Source organism: Homo sapiens, chromosome 9 (genome assembly GCF_000001405.40).
Source record: "Homo sapiens chromosome 9, GRCh38.p14 Primary Assembly".
NCBI classification, from domain to species: Eukaryota; Metazoa; Chordata; class Mammalia; order Primates; family Hominidae; genus Homo; species Homo sapiens.
Genome location: NC_000009.12, coordinates 27,275,645 through 27,298,961, shown reverse-complemented (window position 1 = coordinate 27,298,961; position 23,317 = coordinate 27,275,645). Strand labels below are relative to the sequence as shown.

At 39.3% G+C, this 23,317-nt stretch overlaps 1 protein-coding gene and 1 pseudogene across 4 annotated transcripts in view, besides 1 other annotated feature; both read left to right on the top strand.

The window, feature by feature from the left end:
* The first annotated feature begins 1,811 nt into the window (after nucleotides 1–1,811).
* On the top strand, nucleotides 1,812–14,308 carry EQTN (equatorin). 3 transcript variants are annotated; one of them, NM_020641.3, is made up of 8 exons: nucleotides 1,812–1,982; nucleotides 2,224–2,349; nucleotides 4,560–4,646; nucleotides 6,475–6,561; nucleotides 7,899–7,943; nucleotides 9,231–9,290; nucleotides 12,600–12,753; nucleotides 13,990–14,308. In NM_020641.3, the coding sequence occupies exons 1-8, from the start codon at nucleotides 1,907–1,909 to the stop codon at nucleotides 14,237–14,239; spliced, it is 885 nt and encodes a 294-aa protein (NP_065692.2). In that variant the 5' UTR covers nucleotides 1,812–1,906; the 3' UTR covers nucleotides 14,240–14,308. The 3 variants fall into 3 exon arrangements, with proteins under 3 accessions (NP_065692.2, NP_001155057.1, XP_011516222.1); NM_001161585.2 differs by lacking the exon at nucleotides 6,475–6,561; XM_011517920.2 differs by lacking the exons at nucleotides 1,812–1,982; nucleotides 2,224–2,349; nucleotides 4,560–4,646; nucleotides 6,475–6,561 and adding an exon at nucleotides 6,568–7,706.
* Nucleotides 14,309–16,168: 1,860 nt separating this feature from the next.
* Nucleotides 16,169–23,317, top strand: part of REXO6P (RNA exonuclease 6, pseudogene) — a 37,110-nt pseudogene continuing 29,961 nt past the window's right edge. Inside the window, exons 1-7 of the transcript NR_026679.1 lie at nucleotides 16,169–16,632; nucleotides 18,038–18,194; nucleotides 18,347–18,534; nucleotides 20,234–20,601; nucleotides 21,186–21,411; nucleotides 21,852–21,998; nucleotides 23,012–23,180. The product of NR_026679.1 is annotated as an RNA exonuclease 6, pseudogene (transcript). The remainder of the gene's footprint in view (nucleotides 16,633–18,037; nucleotides 18,195–18,346; nucleotides 18,535–20,233; nucleotides 20,602–21,185; nucleotides 21,412–21,851; nucleotides 21,999–23,011; nucleotides 23,181–23,317) is intronic.
* Nucleotides 18,556–19,057: an enhancer, noted in NCBI's record as "H3K4me1 hESC enhancer chr9:27279903-27280404 (GRCh37/hg19 assembly coordinates)". NCBI's record gives its function as "activates a minimal SCP1, AML or CMV promoter by ChIP-STARR-seq in naive H9 embryonic stem cells {active_cell/tissue: H9 hESC(naive)}" and the evidence as "EXISTENCE:reporter gene assay evidence [ECO:0000049][PMID:30033119]".

The following is a 23,317-nucleotide window of genomic DNA, read 5'->3' as shown; positions in this document are numbered from 1 at the left end:
CCAAAGGAAAAAAAGTAATTATATCAAAAAGACACCTACACACATATGTTTATCCCAGCACAATTCACAATTGCAAAGATATGGAACCAACTTAAGTGCCCATTAACTGATGGGTGGAGAAAGAAAATATGGTATATATACACCATGGAATACTATTCAGCCATAAAAAAGAAAAAAATAATGTCTTTTGCAGCAAATTGGATGGAGTTGGAGGCCATTCTTTTAAGTGAAATAACTCAGGGATGGAAAAACAAATACCACATGCTCTCACTTATAAGTGCGAGCTAAGCTATGGGTACACAAAAGCATACAGAGTGGTATAATGGACATTGGAGACTCAGAAGGGGGGAAGAAGGGAGCTGGGTGAGGGATAAAAAACTATATGTTGGGTTCAATATACACTACCGGGTGATGGGCAGACTAAAATCTCAGCTTTCACCACTATACAATTCATCAATGCAACCAAGAACCACTTGGACCCCAAAAGCCATATGAAATATAAATACATATAAGACCTATATTTTATATATTATATAATTATATATTTTATAAAATATATAATATATTTATATAACTAATATATAATATGTTATTATTAATTATTTATATAATATAGGCCTTAAAATCTAAAAATGACCAGTTTTAGAGAACTTTTCTAAAGAATTATAGTTAAGATAATCCATTAACCAGAACTTGTAGACTTGTAGGGCATTTGGCATCAGAACTTGGTTTTTCTGCCTAGTTGTTTTTTTTGTTTTGTTTTTTGTTTTTTGTTTTTTTTTTTGGAGACAGAGACTCACTTCTTCACCCAGGCTGGAGTGCAGTGGTGTGATCTCGGCTCGCTGCAAACTCTGCCTCCCATGTTCAAGCACGTGGGCCACCACGCCTGGCTAACTTTTGTATTTTTAGTAGAGATGAGGTTTCACCATGTTGCCCAGGGTGGTCTTGAACTCCTGACCTCAAGTGATCTGCCCACCTCAGCCTCCCAAAGTGCTGGGATTACAGGTGTGAGCCACTGCGTCCAGCCTCTGACTAGTTTTTAAAAGATATTTTTATTGCATTTATCCAAGAAAACACATCATATTGCAATGCTTTGAGAAACAAAAAGATCTGTTCTCATTTTACTCTTAACAATATTAATGGTTGCAGGGAGCCGAAGGCTCGTGGGACGTGAGCCACTCAGCATTCCACTGGAGGCTATATGATCAAACAGCAAACTGTTTATTATGAATGCAGGATGTGGGCAAACTCACGACTGCTCCTGCCCACAGAAGGTTTGCTGGAGGCAATCACTCCCTGGCACCGAGGTTATCTACTGCGACATCTAGAGAATGCAGTGTTGCATGCCTACTCTGGACCGGGCAGCTGACCCCTTCTTCCATCCTCCTTCTCACTATCTCTCTTGCCTAATAAATACAGAGGGCTGTGTAAAGCTCAGGGCCCTTGCCCACTAGAGGCAAGGTGCCCCCGACCCCTTCTTCCAAATATACTCTTTTGTCTTTGTCTTTTATTCCCGCATTCGTCCCCCTTTGTTCAGTCCCCTAGGTCCGTGCGGGTTACAAGTGGCACCCTGACTAGCCACAGAATCGAGTGCTCTACAAATGGTTCTTTAAAATCCAGAGCCGAGTAATTAACATTCTTTTATGAAAACACACTTATTAACTTTCAAAGAAAATCTTGTAATGGTTTATTTAAAAAATAACTAAAAACCATTATAGTACCTGAGATAAAGCAGTCTTCAGACTGAGTCACAAAGCTGTTGGGAACCCCCACCCCCACCAACATTCTGATGCCCATCTGACAGTGATGTCATAATGTCCTAGTTAGACACAGGACCTGCTGGGCCACAGAAAGGAGGCTCTGGGTAGACGCACTAGATTACTGGATAAATCACTTCAATTTCCCAATGAATTTTATATTGTTTATTTTTATACCTGGAGTTTTTTCCTTAAAAAGTAGCACTTTGAAGCCTACTATTGAAGGTGAGAGAGCATTTAAAACTTTTATAAAAATAGTAGGTAAGAAGGATGACCCATAATCATGAAAAATTGGTATGTGGCAGTTTTCTACAGGAGGATATAAACTTTATTGTTGGAGCTATGGTATGTTTTAGATTTTAAATCTCTGCCTCTAATCCTTTGTGAAAAAAATGCAGTTAGAAAAAGAAAGCAGTAAAAGAAATCAACATATTTCTGATCTATGGTGTGTGATACTTTTTTTTAGCATTGCCTAATGTGCTACCTTTAAATGAAGATGTTAATAAGCAGGAAGAAAAGAATGAAGATCATACTCCCAATTATGCTCCTGCTAATGAGAAAAATGGCAATTATTATAAAGATATAAAACAATGTAAGTCTTTAAAGTGAATAGAAATGTATATGCAAAAGTTGATTATCCTGGTTTCACTTAAGTGTCCTTTTTAAATTTCCATCATTTCCCCCTGTATTTGTTGGGTATTTTATTTCTACTTCTGTGACCTGCCTGTTCATACCCTTGCCCATTTTTCCATTAGGTTGTATTTTCATTTCTTTTTAAGGGCTCTTTTTATGTAGAATATATTAATCCTTTTTACGGTAAAAGTAATAAATGTTTTCTGCCAAGATGCTGCTTATCTTTAAGGCTTATTTTATTTTATTGTATCGTATTCAGTTTTTGAGACAGAGTCTTGCTCTGTCACCCAGGCTGGAGTGCAGTGGCACGACCATGGCTCACTGCAGCCAGCCTTGACCTCCCAGGGTTCAAGCAGTCCTACCACCTCAGCCTTCCGAGTAGCTGGAACTATAGGCACATGCCATCACACCAAGCTAATTTTTGTATTTTTTTTGTAGAAACGGTGTTTCATCATGTTGCCCAGGCTGGTCTCCAACTCCTGGGCTCAAGCGATTCACCCATCTCACCCTCCCAAAGTGCTAGGATTACAGGTGCGAGCCACCACACCTGGCCAAGCCTGTTTAAGTATCTTTAATAACTGAGAAGATTTCAAGTTTTATAATATCAGTTCTGTTTATTTATTTCTTTATAATCTCTGCATTTTGTGTCTTGCCTAAGCAGGCTTTATCCAGTCCAAAATATTGTTTTCTTGAATTTTAAAAGTAATTTTATCGTTGTTTTTTTTTTTTTTTTTTTTTTTGAGACGGAGTCTCGCGCTGTCGCCCAGGCTGGAGTGCAGTGGCGCAATCTCTGCTCGCTCCAAGTTCCGCCTCCCGGGTTCACACCATTCTCCTGCCTCAGCCTCCTGAGTAGCTGGGACTACAGGCGCCCGCCACCACGCCCGGCTAATTTTTTGTATTTTTAGTAGAGACGGGTTTCACAGTGTTAGCCAGGATGGTCTCGATCTCCTGACCTCGTGATCCGCCCGCCTCGGCCTCCCAAAGTGCTGGGATTACAGGCGTGAGCCACTGCACCCGGCCTATGTTTTTGTTTTTAACTTGAGCTTTAAATCCAATTATTTTTGTGTATGGCATAAAGTAGGGATAAAACATTATGTTTTTCAAGGATGATAGCCAAGTGTCTAACACCAAGTCCCTACTGATGTGAAACTTATATTTAATTAACCAAACTCTAAGATGAAATTAGGCCAATTGTTATACTTGTTTTTTTAAACTGTCTGTCCCTAGAAAGATACCAGTGTTTCAACTTTTATACTTTCATAACTCATGGCATGAGTGTTGGGTTGTGACTTTGTTTTATTTTTCCATAGCTCTGTCTCAGGAATTGCTCAAAAACGATGAAATATTAATGGTACCGTTTTTATGTGTGTCGTCCATAATTTATCTGTTATCTTGTGGGAGAACATTTAGTCTATGTGCAGTTTTTCCCATGTACATTCTTCTCATATACACACTGGGGTGAATTTCTTTGTTCTCACAAAGAGAGAAATGAATACATATGTAAATATTAAATACACATACATTCGTGTGTGTATAGAATTTTGTATCATCTTATGAAATTTTGGAGAGAGGAGACACATGTGCATGTCCAGTCTGCCGTCTTGATCCAATTCACTTTGATCCTTTGGCGGGGGGAATATATACATTAGTTTTGAATTGCAGCCAACTCCACTAATGAGTCTTAAGAGCAGCATTCTTTATGTGCATGTGTAAATTTGAGTATATGTGAGGGACCTTAATTGTTATCAAATGATATGCTTTTTAAGCTGAAGTGTTCATTCCATAGTCTAACAGAAGGTTCAAGGGCAGGTAAATGCTTCTTACCCGGTTTTTTGATAATGTCAATACAAACAGTGATAATGTTGCACATCTACAAATCTACTTCAGCACCTGTTATGTGCTTACATATTTTTTTCCACAAATTTCTCCAAAAATTGCTTCTTGGAAAGGGTCATTTGGCATAAAGATACTAGTTTGGCTTTTTTCAATGAGTTTTAGATTTGACCCTTGCCCCACTTTCTTATTTTGTAGATGAAAAAAAAATGACTATAACTTTTTTAATTTTTTTTTAATTAGTGCATGTTTTAAGAAAAAAACTCAGAGGAAGAAAAAGGTAAAGGAAAAAAAGTGACTTAGCTAGTTGCTGAAGACTTTCGCTTTTGTTTTTAGATGTGTTCACAACACAAAATCCAAATGGCACTGAGTCTGAAATATCTGTGAGAGCCACAACTGACCTGAATTTTGCTCTAAAAAACGGTAAGAAGTGAAAGGCACCATTGCACATGTAAAAGCCATTAAAGCAGGATTTCAAAACAGCAATAAGAGACTGTTGGGGAGAAAAGAAGTCTTCGTTCCTAAATAAGACTAACATTTTCCCTCTAAAGTAGATTCTGTGACTGGGATCCAGCTTAGTTCTTGGCCATCCTCTCTGCTTTTCTCACACTTCCTCCCACACAAATACACCTGAGACTCCACATCCATTACACTGATAATTTCAGAAGCTGGGGAGGTTCTTGCATTTCTAAACCTCATACATATGGTTTATGTGGAAAGAAAAATTAAATGATAACTACATTTAGGATTCTAGGAAAATTTACATCTTTCTTAAACCCACGTTTTTTTGCCTTTCTGATTTTTGTCTTCAGCTTTAAATGGGGAAGAGAGAATGTTTCTAGCTATGGCAATGTCAATATTGAGAAATGTGAGACTCAGGAATGCCTAATTATTAACAAAGCTACTTGATAATAATGGAATATTTTGAGCAATTTCAAACCTTGGGATTTAAATGAGACAGTAACATTCCAAGGGCTTATATTAATTCAGTAAATCACTTACGGGAATCTTGCTTATCCACAACAAACAACATCTTGAGTTGTCTGGGACAAGACATGAAGAGGCAGCTCTTAAGTGTACCAGCTACCTCAAATTCCCTTAGGATATGAGTTATTGAGTACAGACTGCAGGACCCAAGGAAGAGACTGCGAAACCCTCACTTTTATTTCCACAATTCAGGCCCCCAGAGGATTGTCAGGGAAAGTGGGATTGGAATAAGACATTCCTGCCATTTTAAACGGGGCTCTGACAGAAGGAGACCTGCTGGCATGGTAGGGACGTTCTAGAGGAGCAAGCCCCCAGGAAGATGGAGATCTGCGGATAACTTTGACTAAGGGTTGCTTGCTTAAGTATAGTCCCTAAAACTCTGAAGGCAAGGGGGAAAAACTGAGGCAATCTAGATGCTTTTCTCCAGAGGATAAGGGTTGCAAAGCAGAATTTAAGGATGACTTACTCACTTTTCGAGTTCTGCTTGAATCACTATCAACTCCAGTAACTGATTCCCTTTCCCAACTTTCCTTGGCAGCAAGACACTTGTCATGGGTTTGTGGGCTTGGTGTGAATTTTTTCTGCCCCTCTGTAGAAGTCCTCCTATAGAGGGTGCCCTGTACTCCGTATGGAACTTTATTGACTCCTGTATTAAGCAGTTAATTGAAATGGCCATCAACTTGAAGAAAGGGTCTTCCAGTCACAGTTGTTACCAAACACTCCCTTAGTGACATTCCTCTAGAGGGACCCATTACAGACTGAGATATATACTAAATTAGACCTGAAAACCCTTGATTTGTAGTCCAAAATCTTTATATCCAAATGTCTGTTTCCAATTTACAAACACACTTAATACTCAGCCTCCCTTTCTTGCGTCGTTACACTGAACAGCAGCCAAGCTGCTCTGGACAAAGAGGATCATTTCACCGCCTGTGCAGGGAACCATCTGGAGCCAATTATCTTCTCCAAGAGATCTTCTTTACCTCTGAAGAAAGCCCGGGGCCGCATGTTCCTTTGCCTCTCTTTCACAAATTATAGTCATGTTAATCCCACCTCAGACACCCCATGATCACAAAAACTTTATTCTTCAATACCTTCTTCTTTCTCCTTTATTTCTGGAAAATGTTAATGTCTTTCTCTTCCGTTTCTTCTCTCTCCTTTTCTTTGTTCCATAATATCCATTTAATAGATATTAAAAAATATCTATTCTCAGATGTTTCGTCAGTATTTTTACATGCTGATAATTCTTTTTCCCTTTTCCTAGATAAAACTGTCAATGCAACTACATATGAAAAATCCACCATTGAAGAAGAAACAACTACTAGCGAACCCTCTCATAAAAATATTCAAAGTATTTAAATTACTACACTGTATTCATACCTGGAGAATATCATTATGTGACTTAAAAATTTAAGTTTCACTACTCTGAGCATTACATAAAGCCATAGCATGCTTAAAGAATTTATACTGCTACCTTTTAAAGTCACTAAAATCTTTTAAATGGTGAATGTCTAACAGTCAGTCTTCAGGTATACCTGACAAAGGATGAGAAATGAGCTTTTGTAGAAATAGAACTTTATTTTAATAAAAATGTGTTACATTTGTGTCTATATTAAATACGTACTTACAAATTAGTATATATTTATAAATATATGTCGAATGTATTTGAAATATAATTTATTTTGCTAATAATGGAAAATATTCTGCCTGCTTGAGGAATAAACTTATCTCTGGTTAGGGTCAATTATTAGTGTTTCCTATGATTATTTGAGGTTGGGAGTGGGAGGCTGCAAAATCAAAATTACCATTTTACTTCCCTGTCAAGAATATTGTTCCTTATAAAATATGTGTGGAGCCATAACAACCCAGGATGGCTCTCCTCTAAGGTCTTGAATAAGCGGCCTAATTGAAGAGAATGGATACTTACGTGTCGTTACATGAAACCCTATTTTCTCCAGTTTATGCAATCCAAGTATGTTTCTAATGTAATTATTCTGAATTAGTTTGCATTTTTAACACTACTGAAAAAAATCTTTTTTGATGTGTTTTAAAATGAAAACCTGATCATCCTGGTATTCCCCTTCTTAAACGTCTTTAGTAACTTACTACTAAGTTTGAGGTCAAGTTTTAACTCCTTAACCAAGCATTCAATTCCGAAACAATCTGGCCACTGTGAAAATTTTCCACTCTCAACTCTGGTTACGTTCTGCATCCACACCCTTCACTCAAGACTTACCTGAAGCTCCCAGAGCTTACTGAGCCTGCTTACGATTGTGCGTTTGCTCACGGCTGGAATGAGCTCGCTCTCACCTTGTTTGCCTGGTGAACTATTGCTAGTTCTCTAAGCTTATATTGGAACATCATCTCCCTTTTGAAGGGTTTCTGGCCTTAAGAAGTTAAATTAAACCCTGTGCATACCACCTGTGCATTTCCATTAACGCCTTCATTAATCTGCTACATAAGCAGCAATGATTCTTGTCTGCAGCCAAAATTAAGGTGGGTTCCTTGACTGTAATGTCTGAGCCTTGTTTACTTCTATAAGTTAGTGCCAACCACAGGTCTGACACATTATAGGAGCTCAAAGTTTAACTGCTAAATGACTAACAAACGAATGTTCCTCAAACTAAATTATTTTGTTATCCTGTTGTTTTCTTGTTGTTCTTGTTGTGTTTTGTTTTGTTTTAACAGGATCAACCCCAAACGTGCCTGCATTTTGGACAATGTTAGCTAAAGGTAAAGTCATACAGCTAGGTAGCTTGGGAAACATTTTGGTTTTCTAAAATCTTACTTAGAGCTAAGATCAGTCTAAATACCTCTAATACTGAGACAATAAGTCAACATTTTGTTGCCACATGTAATAGCAAACTTCAAAACAAACCTAGAAAGGTGATAAAGTGTCACACATTTTCTGATTACTCACTCTTTACAAAAGTTTTATTCTCTTACAAATGTTAAATGTTATTCAATTTATTTATGGTTAAAATTTTTCAATAAGATTCTTGCTCAATATCATTCATCTTTGTATTTGGAGCAGTGCATGCAAAAGCACACAGATGCATATATAAATGCAAAGTGTATACCAAAATATATGCATGCATAAAAGTGTGTCTCATAAATATGTAAGCATGCATGTATAGCATGATGTACATAGTATTTCTATGCGTGTGTGTATAAATGCATGTGCATATATGGATGTACACATGTATAAAGGTAATGCATGTATCACACAGAAATATATGCATTGTATATGTGAAATATATACCATATTCAGTTGATCATTATTTGCATATTCTGTGTTTGCATTCTGTATCACCTACTCATTAATATTTCTTTGTCACCCCAAAATCAGTAGTTGCAACACCTTCACAGTCATTTATGGACATTGGCAGAGCTTTGAAAATTTTTGATTGTCTGACACACACATTCCCAGCTGAAGTAGAACAAGGCAATATTCTGCCTTCTTTATTCAGCTCTCGTTCTGTAAATAAGTGTCATTTTTGCAGCCCACTTAATGCCACGTTTTTTGCATTTTTTGTGCTTTTTTGTTGATGATTTTGCTGTTTAAAATGGCCCCCAAATGTAGTGTTAAATTGCTGGTTATTGTTCCTAAGTGCAAGAAGGCTGTGATGTTCCTTATGGAGATAATATGTGTTAGAGAAGCTTCATTCAGGCAAGTGTTATAGTGCTGTTTTCTATGAGTTCAGTGTTAATGAATCAACAATATGTATTAAGTGAAGTATCTTTTAACAGAAACACACATAAAACAAGGTTATTTATTTATCAGTTGATGAAAATGCTGTGACCAGACTTGCAGGAATCTAACCCTGTATTTACCCTGGGAGCAACAGTTCAGTATTCGTTAATACAGTGTTTATAAGACTTTATAGAATATAACTGCCACGAATAATGAGAACAGACTGTACACACACTGGGTACTATAATTATACATACACATACATACACAGGCAATAATTTTAGTAAGTGAACGTTGTTTACCATAACCCCAATTTGTTTTAACAGCTATAAATGGAACAGCAGTGGTCATGGATGATAAAGATCAATTATTTCACCCAATTCCAGGTAAGAACAAAATATTTCAATTGACTGGGTGCAGTGGCTAATGCCTATAATCCCAGCACTTTGGGAGGCTGAGGCAGGTGGATCGCTTGAGTCCAGGAGTTCGAGACCAGCCTGGGCAACATGACAAAAACCTTTTCTCTACAAAAAATACAAAAATTAGGTGGGCACGGTGGCATGTCATTGTACTCCAGCCTGAGCGACAGAGTGAGACCCTGTCTCAACAAATGAACCAAAGTACTTCAACTAATAGACACATAAATACTCTTACACATCTTAGTGTCTTTATGATGATAATATTTTTCCTAGTGAAGTCTGGCGTATGAAAGGTGACTAACATCTCAGAGAGGACATTCACTGTTCAGGAGAGTTATAGTTCCCAAGCATTCTTTTTTAGTTATACCTCCCACATGACCATTACCACCTTCCTGTTTTGTAACATTTATTCCTGAAACCAAATGGAGGAGGTGAGTGAATAATATGTAGAATGCAGTCTTTTTTCAAAATAGACTTTATTTTTAGAGCAGTTTTGGGTTTAAAGAAAAATTTGGCAGAACGTACAGAATTTCCATATTTCACCCTCCTCAGTTTCCCCTATGTCTTGCATGATGTGGTACCTTTGTTACAATTTATGAACCAATAATAGTGATTCATTATTAATTGAAGTCCATAATTTACATCAGGATTCACTCTGTATTATACAGGTCTTTGGGTTTTGACAAATGCATAATATCACGTGTCTACCATCCCAGTATCATACGAAAGTTTCACTGCCCTAAAATCTCCTCTGCCCCATCAATTCATCCCTTTGTTCCTCTCTCCTCCTGAACCCCTGAAAACCACTGATCTTTTTACTATCGCTATAGTTTTGCCTTTTCTAGAATGTCATATAGTTGGAGTCATACAGTATGTAACCTTTTCAGACTAGCTTCTTTCACTCAGCAATATGCATTTAAGATTCCTCCATGTTTTCTTGTGGCTTGAGAGCTCATTTATTTTTATTACTGATATTCCATTGTATGAATGCACCCTAGTTCATTCTTCTACTGAATGACATCTTGGTTGCCTCCAATTTTTGGCAATTATGAAAAAAGCTATTGTAAACACTTGTGTGCAGGGTTTTGTGTGTACATAAGTTTTCGACTCATTTTGGTAAATACCTATGAATATGATTTCTGGATCATATGGTAAGAGTATGTTCATGTGCAGTGGGTGGCTTGCCTGTAATCCTAGCACTTTGGGAGGGCAAGGTGGGAAGATGAGAGTGGTTATCTTTGTAAGAAACTACCAAACTATCTTCCAAAGTATTTTTGGAATTCTCACCAGCAATCAATGTGAGCTCCTGTTGCTGGATAGAGTTTTCCTTAATGGCTTAATTATACTAATAGAGGTAAAACTCCTAATTTGAATGGAAAATTTCATGAAAGAACCACATTAATTTCCCCAAAAAAAACCTCTGTCCTACAAATAAATGGTTGAAAAATAGCATGATGATATATCTAAGACCTGTCCCCTCATTTGTGCACTGGATTGATAAGTGTGGCCATTTGCCTTGTGGCGCTTCAAGAAAATTGAGTCATTTGTCTGGGTACTGTAATCCCAGCACTTTGGGAGGCTGAGGCAGGCAGATCACCTGAGGTCAGGAGTTCGAGACAAGCCTGGCCAACATGGTGAAACCCCGTCTCTGTTAAAAATACCAAAAAATTAGCCAGGCGTGGTGTTGGGTACCTGTAATCCCAGCTACTCAGGAGGCTGAGGCAAGAGAATCACTTGAACCCGGGAGGCAGAGGTTGCAGTGAGCTAAGATTGTGCCACTGCACACTGCACTCTAGCCTGGGTGACAGAGCAAGACTCCATCTCAAAAAAAGAAAAGAAAAGAAAATTGAGTGATCCTTCTTTGTTTAGAAAAGTTATAAACAGGAATGACAAATGCTGGCTCATTTTATAAATACTGTGTCATTTCTCCTATTTAATATTTAAGTGATTAAATTCAGCTTGACTGATTTTATTGTTTATTGAGCACATACTACGTGTTAGGTGTTGTAGATACATTATTATGTTAGTCTTCACAGCAACTCCATGAAGTTGGTATTATCTTCATTTTACAGTTGAGAAAACTGAGGCTTAGAGAGAAAAGCTGCCCACGCTTGTAACTAGCTTTTCTGTCACTTCCAGTGATTACGAATTCCAAACCCTTCTCTAGTTCTGACCATCACCTAGATAAAGAAGATGTACTATGAGCACACATCTTTATTAAAAACCCTTTCAGGAGACAGAAAAGCAATTCAGGAGCACAGCCCATTTTAACGTAATTTGTTTAATTATTCCCAAAATAACAGGCCTCGAAGCATTAAAAGAGTCATTGACAACTGTATACATTTTCATAGTCTAAGGTCACACACTGACAATTATAATTTTTTAAAATCAGAGAATATAGACATGGAAGCTTGTCATTGCTTATCACCTAAATATCATTACCTAGAAAATAGTGAAAACCCTTGGAACTTTTGAGTTGGCAGATGCTGGGGGTTGGCTGGGGTAAAGGGGAGAAATAACATGTTGCCATCATTAAATGTTTATTAAGTCAGATATATATTCAGGAAAATGTAAAATTTGGCAGTAAACCTATCATTTCATTAATAGATTTAGTTAAAAAAAGACTCTTGATATCTCTGGATCCAGACATAATCTTATATTTAACTTATTTTAGAAAGTTAAATAAATTGATTCTATTTATTTTTGTAATGTGAAGTACACTAGGTTTAGTCTTTTCAGTAATAAAATGGCAAAACTAGCCCTTAAGCTTCATGGAGGAAGCATTCACTATACCACCCTTTTAGCTTAAAAGAAAAATCAGTGTATGACGCAGCACTAGAGCATGCACCTTTACCTCCTGAAAGACTGGTCCCTTGTGTGTAAGTCAATCGTTTTGAATAATAATCTCTTCAGACATGGTAGATTAAATCAGAGAAAGTCTGCTATATATGCATTTTGACATCTGGTAACCCGGATTTGCAACCAGCTTTTGCCACTTACTATGTGCTATGCGCAAACACAGAAACTTCTGTGATACTGTAAAATGGAGCTAAGGACAGCTCCTTCGGGGTTGCTGTGAAGGTTAAAGAGGCAAGTTAATAGTGCTTGGCTTTAGAGAGTAGCTTTCTCCTTTGCATTGCCTGCGGGATGGGAGACCGGCCAGTTAATACTCTGGATGGTGGAGGGCTTGCTTCTCTGTATTTGCTTTGCAATCTTTACTCCTTCAGGAGAACACACTGAACACCCTATTTTCCACTGCATTCTCTTTCTTTTCAGAGTCTGATGTGAATGCTACACAGGGAGAAAATCAGCCAGATCTAGAGGATCTGAAGATCAAAATAATGCTGGGAATCTCGTTGATGACCCTCCTCCTCTTTGTGGTCCTCTTGGCATTCTGTAGTGCTACACTGTACAAACTGAGGCATCTGAGGTAAGTCTGCAGACCTCTGCAGTCTTTACAACAAATGCATGACATCGCATTCTCTCCCTCCTCTCTTTAGTAGATTCTTAGGAATATGTGACCTCTGAATTCATCCATACGACATTCAAATTGATTCCATTTACCCTATTCGGATGGAGCACGGGACTGTCTTTAAGGGAATATCCTACTTGAACTTTTTCCCAGTAGTCATCCAGAGATAGAAATAACCTTAGTCAATTGGAAAGGATAAAGCGAATCTAGATATGCTCTTTTTTATATAGCCCTGGAGCAAATATATTTTGTTCTGAATAGCATATCTGCTTAGCATCTAATGTTTTTTATTCAAGCAAGCCTTGAGACTTTGAAAAAACAGCCAATCTCTATCACCTTTACATTGTGAGACCTGTCCAGAGGCTCTTTCTTATAAAAATATTAAATTCAACTCAAGCCTGATTGAAGGAATTATTTAACATTTTTCAGGCAGTGTAACAGATTACCTTCAAAAATCCTAACAGAATTGCTTAATGTTCATAATGATCATTAATTCCATTCTTTTCATTGTGCTGTTTTTGACGAATGGTGTATTTCTGTGGTCCATTAAAACTGTGATCCTAGGTATTTATTCCCCATCATTCAATTTCATTGTACATGTTTCTTATTAAATTTTATTAAGGCAACTTCTACTGTTTTAGTAAATTGGTTTATAAATTCTAGTAGAGATTTGAAACATGCTTCAAAGTGTTACATAGAATCAAATTACAATGAAAGAAAAACTAGGCCGGGCGTGGTGGCTCACACCTGTAATCCCAGAACTTTGGGAGGCCAAGGCAGGTGGATCACGAGGTCAAGAAATCAAGACCATCATGGCCAACATGGTGAAACCCCGTCTCTACTAAAAATACAAAAATTAGCTGGGCATAGTGGCGCATGCCTGTAGTCCCAGCTACTCGGGAGGCTGAGGCAGGAGAATCGCGTGCCCCTGGGAGGCGGAGGTTGCAGTGAGCCGAGATTGCGCCACTGCACTCCAGCCTGGAGATAGAGTGAGATTCTGTCTCAAAAAAAAAAAAAAAAAAAAAAAAAAAAAGGAAAAGAAAAGAAAAACTATATATCATTCACATAATGTTACTAAGTAACTAACACTTTGGGCAAAATTCGTATATTTTAATTTTTGAATGCTTTTCTAAGCTGAGTTACAAATGTACACAATTAAAAACAATTCTTGATATATGTTCTTTTCTTCTTCAGTTATAAAAGTTGTGAGAGTCAGTACTCTGTCAACCCAGAGCTGGCCACGATGTCTTACTTTCATCCATCAGAAGGTGTTTCAGATACATCCTTTTCCAAGAGTGCAGAGAGCAGCACATTTTTGGGTACCACTTCTTCAGATATGAGAAGATCAGGCACAAGAACATCAGAATCTAAGATAATGACGGATATCATTTCCATAGGCTCAGATAATGAGATGCATGAAAACGATGAGTCGGTTACCCGGTGAAGAAATCAAGGAACCCGGTGAAGAAATCTTATTGATGAATAAATAACTTTAATTATTTTGTCATCAAAAGACCTTTCTTTATGTCTTCTGTTAATGTCATGAGTTTGAAACTGCCGAGACAAACATTCTGGTGTCTTAAAAGGAGGACAGACTCAATACAAATTATCTCTCGGTTATAAAATTTAATGGAAAATACACAAGAAGATAATTTAAGGTGTGAGAAACTCATCAAGTAAAAACATTCCTGGAGAGTGACTTTGAAAGATATTTTCTCTAGGCTGGTTCACTTTAAAACAAGGACATTTAGATATTTACCTTCCCCAGGGGCATTTTGAGAACATCAGGGAACTCACCACTGCCTATGCGCCCCCTCACCACCGCTGAAGCAAAAAGAACACACCTGTTCATGTTTTATTGACAAAACAGTTGTGCCATCAAGAGATGAAACTAAATTAATGGTAGGAACTCTTAGCATTCTTGAACTGTTTAAAAGTCGTCAGGGGTTGCTCTCACATGACAAAAGGTAAGAAAGAAAAGATACTTTTCCATTTCTTTTCTTTTCTTTTTTTTTTTTTTTTTTTTGAGAGGGAGTCTCGTTCTGTCGCCAGGCTGGAGTGCAGTGGCGCGATCTCGGCTCACTGCAACCTCTGCCTCCCGGGCTCAAGCGATTCTCCTGCCTCAGCCTCCTGAGTAGCTGGGATTACAGGCACACGTTACCACGCCCGGCTACTTTTCGTATTTTTAGTAGAGATGGGGTTTCACCATGTTGGCCAGGATGGTCTTGATCTCTTGACCTCATGATCCGCCTGCCTTGGCCTCCTGAAGTGCTGGGATTACAGGTGTGAGCCACCGCACCCGGCCATATTTTTCCATTTCTAAAGTATCCATAATCGTTTGAGACAACACAGTGTTCCAGAAGAAGAGAGAGGAAGAGGGGAATTCCAGAAGGTAATTTCCTAGCTGGGGACTCATGGACCTTGAGTCTTTTAGAGCTGAAGTGCCCTTCTTTCTCTCTTCCCCCAGGCATCCAGGATTATTATGTTTCACTGAAAGAAAAGCAATGCTTTTCAAAGACTTATTCAAGTTTATTAGTGACTTTTGTGGCTATCCATACCAAAAGTATTTCAATTTACAAAGACAGAAAATAGGGATAAAGTTTCCTTTTTAGAAATTAGTTTCGGCTGGGCGCGGTGGCTCATGCCTGTAATCCCAGCACTTTGGGAGGCCCAGGTGAGCAGATCACGAGGTCAGGAGTTTGAGACCAGCCTGGCCAACATGGTGAAACCCTGTCTCTACTAAAAAAATAAAAAAAATTAGCCACGTGTAGTGGCACACGCCTGTAATCCTAGCTACTCAGGCTGAGGCAGGAGAATTGCTTGAACTCGGGAGGCAGAGGTTGCAGAGAGCTGAGATCACACCACTGTACTACAGCCTGGGCGAGAGAGCAAAACTCCATCTCAGAAAGAAAAAAAAAGAAGAAATTAGTTTCAAGTGGAGGGATTTAGCGACATGCATCATGTCTTTTCTGGATATGTATGGATATGGGAGAAGAACTTAGGGCATGTTTCATTGCCCTCTTCAATTCTTACCATACCAATAGCTTTCATTTACTGAGTACCTACTTTATAATAGGCACTTTAGAACATTGTATCACATTAAATTCTACTATCTTATGAAAGGTGAGTTTATTTTACAGATCAGAAAACAGAAGTTCAGGTAAATCAGATAAATTGCCTAAGAGCACCTGCTGTGATGTGCTTCCAATCTGAGGTTCTCTCCATGATCCATGAAGGTGAATAGTCAGACTTGCAGCAAAAGTCTTTAGGATCAACACAGGCCCAGCACCCAAGACACATAAGGTTCCTTAACTCAGGTGTTCTTTCAGCTCTTGGGAAACTGTTTTCCTTTCCTTTAGCTTGGGTATCTATAATTCTTCTTCCTCACGAGAATAAACACACATTTTACTCTCACCTGCCACTTCCCCTACTATCCATTGTTAGAGTCCTTCACTCCCAAATTTCGCCGCAGACTCCCGCCCAGTCTCACTCACCATTGGTTGGGAAAGCTACGAAGCTCCGCCTTTGAATAGTGATGGGCTATAAAAGACGGCACCTTTGAGGGAAAAGGCAGTAGGTCAGGCGCTCACCTTTGCCTGCTCTCTGGCAACAGTGCTCACAGTTTCTGAGCCAGTGGAGGTGGCCTGGAGCAGCAGCCCATGCTACTCTCTGCCGGTTATTTTGCCATTTCTCTGTGCCCTTTTGACAGCTCCAGGGATCGGTGCCAGCATTTGTACTGCCAGTTCAGGCACCTGCAGATCTGGTGGAAAAGTGAGGGAGGTGATTGCAGTTGCTTGGAGATGCTCCAGGTGCAAAGGAGTTGTGTTGAGTCCACAGGTGAGAAAGGGACATGAGAATATCAGGTGGGCTTGGAGCGAGGTTGATAACCAACTATTCCCACGTTTTCTCTCCACCCCTCCTTAGGAGGTACCAAGAATTTTCCTGATTGGAAAGGGGTGGAAGAGCCACTTTTCAATCATGTAAAAAGTAGTAGTAGTACTAGTAGTAGTAGTACTTGTCTTTGGTACTAAAGTAAAGCATTGTACAAAGTTGAGTACAGCATTACTCTGGCTACAATATCTAAAATGGCCAAAAGAGATATGTTAGCTATATATTTTTAAATGGGCTACTCATCCTTAGACCGTTGGCATAGTTTGCCTTGTAAAGTGCAGTGAAGGTATTTTGAGGGGGATGGAAGGGGAGTGGGCACAGGAAGAATGTCAGGAGGTACTGGTATGTGTGGTCTCTTTTCCTCCCTCTCCTGCTCTAAAAGTGAGAAGAGGGTCTCACAGCCAGTGCTGGTTGGGAGAGGTCTTCTTGTTTCTCACTGCTGACCCTCTATGCCATCCATAACTAAACCTTCATTTTCTGAACAGGTTTTCTGGACCTCTGACCTGCTTGCCCTGGAAGGCATCATAAAACCGGTTCCTTTTTAGCCTATCAGTCTCTCCCCCATTCTGAAACTCCCTCTTATTTCCTGTTGCTGATGCTCCCTAATCATCCTCTTCCCCAAAACCTCAAAGGGGACTTTCAATTCTGTTCCCCCATCCCCGTAGGTGTATTTTGCTGCTTTGTTTTCCTCTACCTTAACTACTCACAGTGATGCAGGTGAACCCCAAAACCGGGGCTCAGCTCGGGAGGGTTCTTGGCTTTGCTCAGGAAAGAATTCAAGAGCCAGCCAACAGTGAAAGCAAGCAAGTTTTTAAAGAGTAACATTGTACAGCGAAAGTGGTGGCTCCATAGAGCAGGGCTCCCTCAGGCAGAGCAGCACTTGTGGACTGCCGGCTTAGCTATATTTATACCTACTTACAATTACAGGCTAAGTAAGGGGTAGTTTGTTCACAAACTTTCTGGAAAAGGGGCAGGGAGTTTGTGGAACCAGATAAAGTAACTTTCTGCCATTGCCATGGCGTTTGTAAACTGTCTTGGCACGGGTGGGAGTGTCATTATTTTATGCAAATGGAGAGCCCAGAGCAGGAGCTACAGCATGGGTTGCTGCTATATTTATACTCACTCTTAATTGCATGCTAATCAAGGGGCGGGTTATTTTAAATTTTCTAGAAAAGGGGCAGGGAGTTCCTGGAACCATAAAAGGGAACTTCCAAGCATTGCCATGGCATTTGTAAACTGCCACGGCTCTGGTGGGAGTGTCTTTAATAATGATCATTGAGAGCAGAGGTTGCTTTCCTTGCCGTCTTCTGGTTTCTGGCAGCTTTCTCTGCTACATCCTGTTTTTGATCAGCAGGAGCCTTACTGGTGCTGGAAAAGCAAGTCCTCCTGATCTACCTCCCTACTGCCAAAGGAACCTAGGATCAGTTCCTACGGACTGGCTGTGACGGGAAAGAAGCACCAGCACTCGCCTTAGAACTAGCAGCCAAGTCCATCTAAAGTGACCAGGAGTAAGTCTTCCCAGCATCACACACCCAGGAGCAGCAGCCTTAAGTTCTAGCCCCTATTCCCTCTTTCTTCCTCCCTCCTGCCACAAGAGCGTCCTAAACATGCCGAACAGTGAGGGTGCTACAGGGGTCCTGATTGACGGTGTTTTTTGCAGGCCTTTTGGGTGGTCCCTCAGTTCCTGAAACACTGGGTTGTAGAGGGAAGCTGTCCCAGAGATGTTTGGAAAGGTGGTTGGCTTGGGCAGGCGTCAAGAGCATCTCTTCCATCCCTCAGGAGGAGCGGGCACCAGCTCCCCAGTAACCGAAAGAACTGCTGGGCCTGCGGGGCTCCACGGTGCCCCAGGTGGGTGGACCAGCGCGCTGCTCAGATGGGGGCAGGGCCAAAGTCACCAGGTCAGGAAGTCGTGGGCGAGGGGCTTGCGTGGGCGCGTGAGCTCTTTGCGAGGACCAGTAAATGGCATTTCTTGGGAACGCAGGATCCTAGGAAGGTACCTAGGATGCCGTGCATAAGATTTGCTGCTTGTTAAGAAACAGGTGCAAGGTATCCTCTCTCCGTCACTCATCCCCAAGGTGGAATTACTATAAGGAGCTTCCTGTGCTCTTGTGAAAGGTGGAAAAGACAGGAAGAAAACTGGCTGTTAGGCCTCTGTTAATTCTGGTGAAGGCAAGGAATAATTACCAATCAAAGGAGCTGTTGCCAATCAGCTCTAGCCTGAGAAAAGATTCTAAGCATGCCTTCAAACTTCAAAATTAACGCTCCAAATCTAGCTTCTGGTGAAGTTAAAAAACAGAAACAGAAAAACTTAACACTGTTCGTGACATGGAAGGAAAGTATAATCATGTCTTTTCAGTAGTGCCCCCAAAGCACTATGTAACAGCCCTTACTAAATCATTGCAACCAAATAAAACCCAGCTTAAGCAAAAGGCACTTCCACCTGCTTATCTGGAGTTTACTGCCCTTAAATTTAAAGAGAAATTAGATCCAGGCCTTTATCTTTGGATCCTAAGATAATTCTCATTCTTGTGCGTGCGCCTCTCCTTCCCCATCTATCAAAATGTCACATTTCCACTACATTGTTTTGGATTTCAATCATGTTAATTTCTTAATAGGAAATGAATGGTAAGTTGAAAGACTGTTGAGCCAGGAAAAAGCTTATTATGTGAAAAGGAAGCATGTGTGTGTTAACAACACATGTAGGTTATCTAAAATAAATTCAGAGTTATAAAAAACAATATAATTGGGACCACGTCTCAGATCTGAAATCTCTTGTTTGGGAGAAGGTATAAGTTATCCTGTAATTGATACAGGAAAGTGTATCTTGGAAAGAGAGAAGAGGTCGTATTTATCCTGGTAAAAATTAGGGAAGGAGCTGCCAGGGTGTTGTGGACAGCTGTTACTTCAAGCCTATGTCTTGTCACTCTCCTGGGTTTCCTCAGTAGTGTAGATCTAGCTAGAGTTTTGTCTGTCAATTCTTAGATTGTCATGGTTGTTAAGGGCTGGGGGTTATTTTGTGCTTGAAGCATTCTATAGATATCAGGGACCTTAGAATGTTGAGACTCACTAAAGGAAGGAAAGACTAATGCTTTAAATACATTTTTCTTGTGGACAGAGGAGATGTGCCAGTGGAGAAGACTATATACAGTTCTGTGTAAGTGGTATTCAGTTATTTTAAGTTTCCAAATTGTCATTGCTTGGTAATAAGGTGAATATTTTCTATCCAAAGTATGTCATGTTTGACACAAACAATTAAGCACAAACAAGGCCTGTCCTACTGATGTATAGTCACCTTAGTAATAAGGTGTAAATGTATTTTAATCAGTCATGGGAATGAGCTAGACATTTGGAAAACTTAAACAGTGATAGCCATTGGCTTCTCACTCTCCATCTAGAACTGATCACTTAGCAAACTACCTCCTGTATTTAAAACTGGGTTTGGAAGGGTTAATGTCCTTCTGATAGGAAGCTACTTCTCCAGGGTATTCTAGAATCTGCATTTCATCATGATTGTAATGATAAAACAAAACTTATTTTCTACTGACAGTCCTAGACATAACTATGGAAAAATTAGAACAGAAAAAATGAGTTAGTCAAGGCTGAGGTTGAAGAAGAGCAGAAGAGGATCTCCAAATGAACTTTAGCACTTGAAGAACTGACTCAAAGCCCTGTGGCCTCCTTGAATGACACAAATGTGAGGCAAGATTTTCCTGAAAATAGCCTGCTCCCAGAGGAAAAGTGAATTGCACCATCAAAGAACAAAGACAGACTGGAAAGTATGTGATGGACCTCAGATGTCCAGAGACTGATCTTGAATATGATCCTTTCCTCAATTATTCTGCGGAGGTACTTGGGGCATCTAAAGCAAAGCAGGATGAGGCTGATCAACAGCACTTCTGCCACTTGAAAACACCTGTGAGTGAAGGTCGCCACACATCCCTGGAGAGCCAAAGGCCTTCTGTTTCACCAATAAGAAGTAAAACAGATCTTTAAGAATCTGAAGATGATCTTATAATAGATGTACCTCCAGTCATGCCTACTTCTAAGAAATCTAAACTATGTAGAGGCTTCAAACATCATTATAAGGATAAATGGACACATATCACGCCCCCGGAGGAGAAAAATCTTAAAATTAGTGGCACAGAAGAAGAAAAAAACAGATAAAACCCAACTAACCACACAAATAGATGATGACAGTAACAAATTACAACTACCTACATTGCTCATGAAAACATCCCCAGGTATTAAAACTAATGTAAATTTATATCATTTTAAAACAGTACCTAAGAAGGAAAAATTTGGGGATGAAAAAAGCCATGACTGTATTTTAGAAGGAGGTTCATCTTCTGCACCTCTCAATGGCAATGAAATAATGAAAGAAAGTTGTAATAAGAAAGTTACCTAAAGAACAAAAAACAGGTAAAAACAAAATTATGATACACAAAAAGAAGAAATTAAATGTTGGTATTCACCAAGCCAGTTCCACATTTCTTATTCAGATGACCTTGCAAAAGACAATGTGCCAAGAATGCAAGGTAATAATCAAGACCTCATTACTTTTGAAGAAGCAAATTAGCCAAATTTGGTTCTGATCCAATCAAATCTGATAATGGTTGTACTGAAGATGACACCTCCTCTCATTCTGATGACACTATGAAAGAATGTCTTTAAGTTTCTAATGAGCTCGTTGAAAGTGAATCTCATAAGGAAAAGACTGCTAAACAGGTTAGCATTTTTTTTCTTTTATTGTTTTCTTAAATCTAATGGAGTTTTGCTTAAATACATATTTTATATTTGTTCTAAATTCTATACAATATACACCTACATAATACACATATTCTAATAGTTTTGATCAATAACATATTGGAGTGACAAGGCAAAAGCCTTGATAAGTGGCCAGCCATAGTGTCTGGCAGAGTTGACAGTTTCCAGAGGCCATAGTACTATATACAGTAACTTATAGTTGACTTCTCAAATTAGAGGATTTTTTGTTGTTGTTTGTTTTGAGATGGAGTCTCTGTCGCTCATGCTGGATCGCAGTGAGGCGATCTCGGCTCACTGCAACCTCTGCCTCCCAGGTTCAAGCAATTCTCCTCCCTCGGCCTCCCAAGTAGCTGGGACTATAGGCGCGTGCCACCACACCCAGCTAATTTTTGTATTTTTAGTAGGACGAGGTTTCACCCTGTTGGCCAGGCTGGTCTCGAACTCCTGACCTGAAGTGATGCACCTGCCTTGGCTTCCCAAGGTGCTGGAATTACAGGCGTGAGCCACCGCGCCCGGCCTAGAGGATTCTTTTATAGGAATCTACACAGGTAAAACTATTCAAATTCAGTTTTTTGTGAATTTTTATTAAAAAATTTGTCCACACTTTGTTGCTTAGATTCCTATGGCTTTTTGAGAAACATGCTAAATTTGCCTTTACTGTGCTGAAATTGGATAATTCTTTTTTCCACTAGGCTTCAGAAAAGGATGATATGTTATATTACAAAAACACATCTGGACCAAAAAAGAGAATTGCACACTCTGGCAAATTTGATGTGAATTATTTAGTTCCTCATCTCCCCGCTGCTCAAAGCTTTATATAAAGTGCATACCTTGTTATTTCCAGTTTTATTATTCTAGGACTATTTATCCTTTTGTCCACTAGGGGGCACAATTTACTGGCAGTCGGTACATTGATTCCTGCTTGTTAGCATTTTCCTGTCCGTTTCCCCACCCCACCCACAGATCTAACATTTTCATTGAAAGCAGGTATATTATCATTGGGTAGCCTCTTAACCATAAATTTTAAAAGTCGATCCTCATTATTCACAGATTCCAAATTTGCGAATTCACCTACTCAGTAAAATTGACGTGTAACCTTAAAATCAAGACTTGCTGTGCTTATGAGATCATTCACAGACAACGCAGAGTGGCAAAAAATTTGAATTGCCTGACATGCACATTCCCAGTTAAGGCTGAAGAAGGTGATAGCCTTCTTGTTTAAGCTCACATAATGTAAAATGTCCTTTTGCAGTCCGTTTAGTGCCAGGTTTTTTTGTATCTGTGTGCTTTTTGTTGGTGATTTTGTGCTGAAAATTGCCGCTCATTGTAGTGCTGTCTAGTGCTCCTAAGCATAAAAAGAATGTGATGTGCCTTACAGAGAAAATATGTGCTAGATAAACTTTGTTCAGGCATGAGTTTTAGTGCTGTTGGCCACGAGGGTATTAAATGAGATGTCTGTAAACATGACACATATGTAAAGCAAGGTGATACTTTGATTGACCAAAAAAAAAAATGTGACCAGAGACTTACCTGAACCTAACCCCATGTTTGTTTGTTTTAGGAGCAGTGGATTCAGTGTTCACTAAATCTGAGTTTGTGGTGACTTACAGAGTATAACTACCTGAAATAACAAGAATCGACTTTAGTTTTCAAAATAATTATAAACTTTTGTAATTTATAAGTGCTGAAGTTCTTTTATGACATAAAAAAGAAATTGAAGAAGCAGTTCAGTGAGTAGTATTCCTTTAACATTTTTGTGTTTAAAAAAGTGATATTTAGGCCAGGCGTCATATATCATGCCTGTAATCCCAGCACTTTGGGAGGCCGAGGCAGGTGGATCACGAGGTCAGGAGATGGAGACCCTCCC

Coding starts and splice junctions, on each gene's coding strand:
- EQTN (NM_020641.3), top strand. CDS start 1,907: ATGAATTTTATATTGTTTATTTTTATACCTGGAGTTTTTTCCTTAAAA. Junction 6,562..7,898: donor CTCTCATAAAAATATTCAAA/GTATTTAAATTA, acceptor TTGTTTTAACAG/GATCAACCCCAAACGTGCCT. Junction 12,754..13,989: donor TACAAACTGAGGCATCTGAG/GTAAGTCTGCAG, acceptor TTTCTTCTTCAG/TTATAAAAGTTGTGAGAGTC.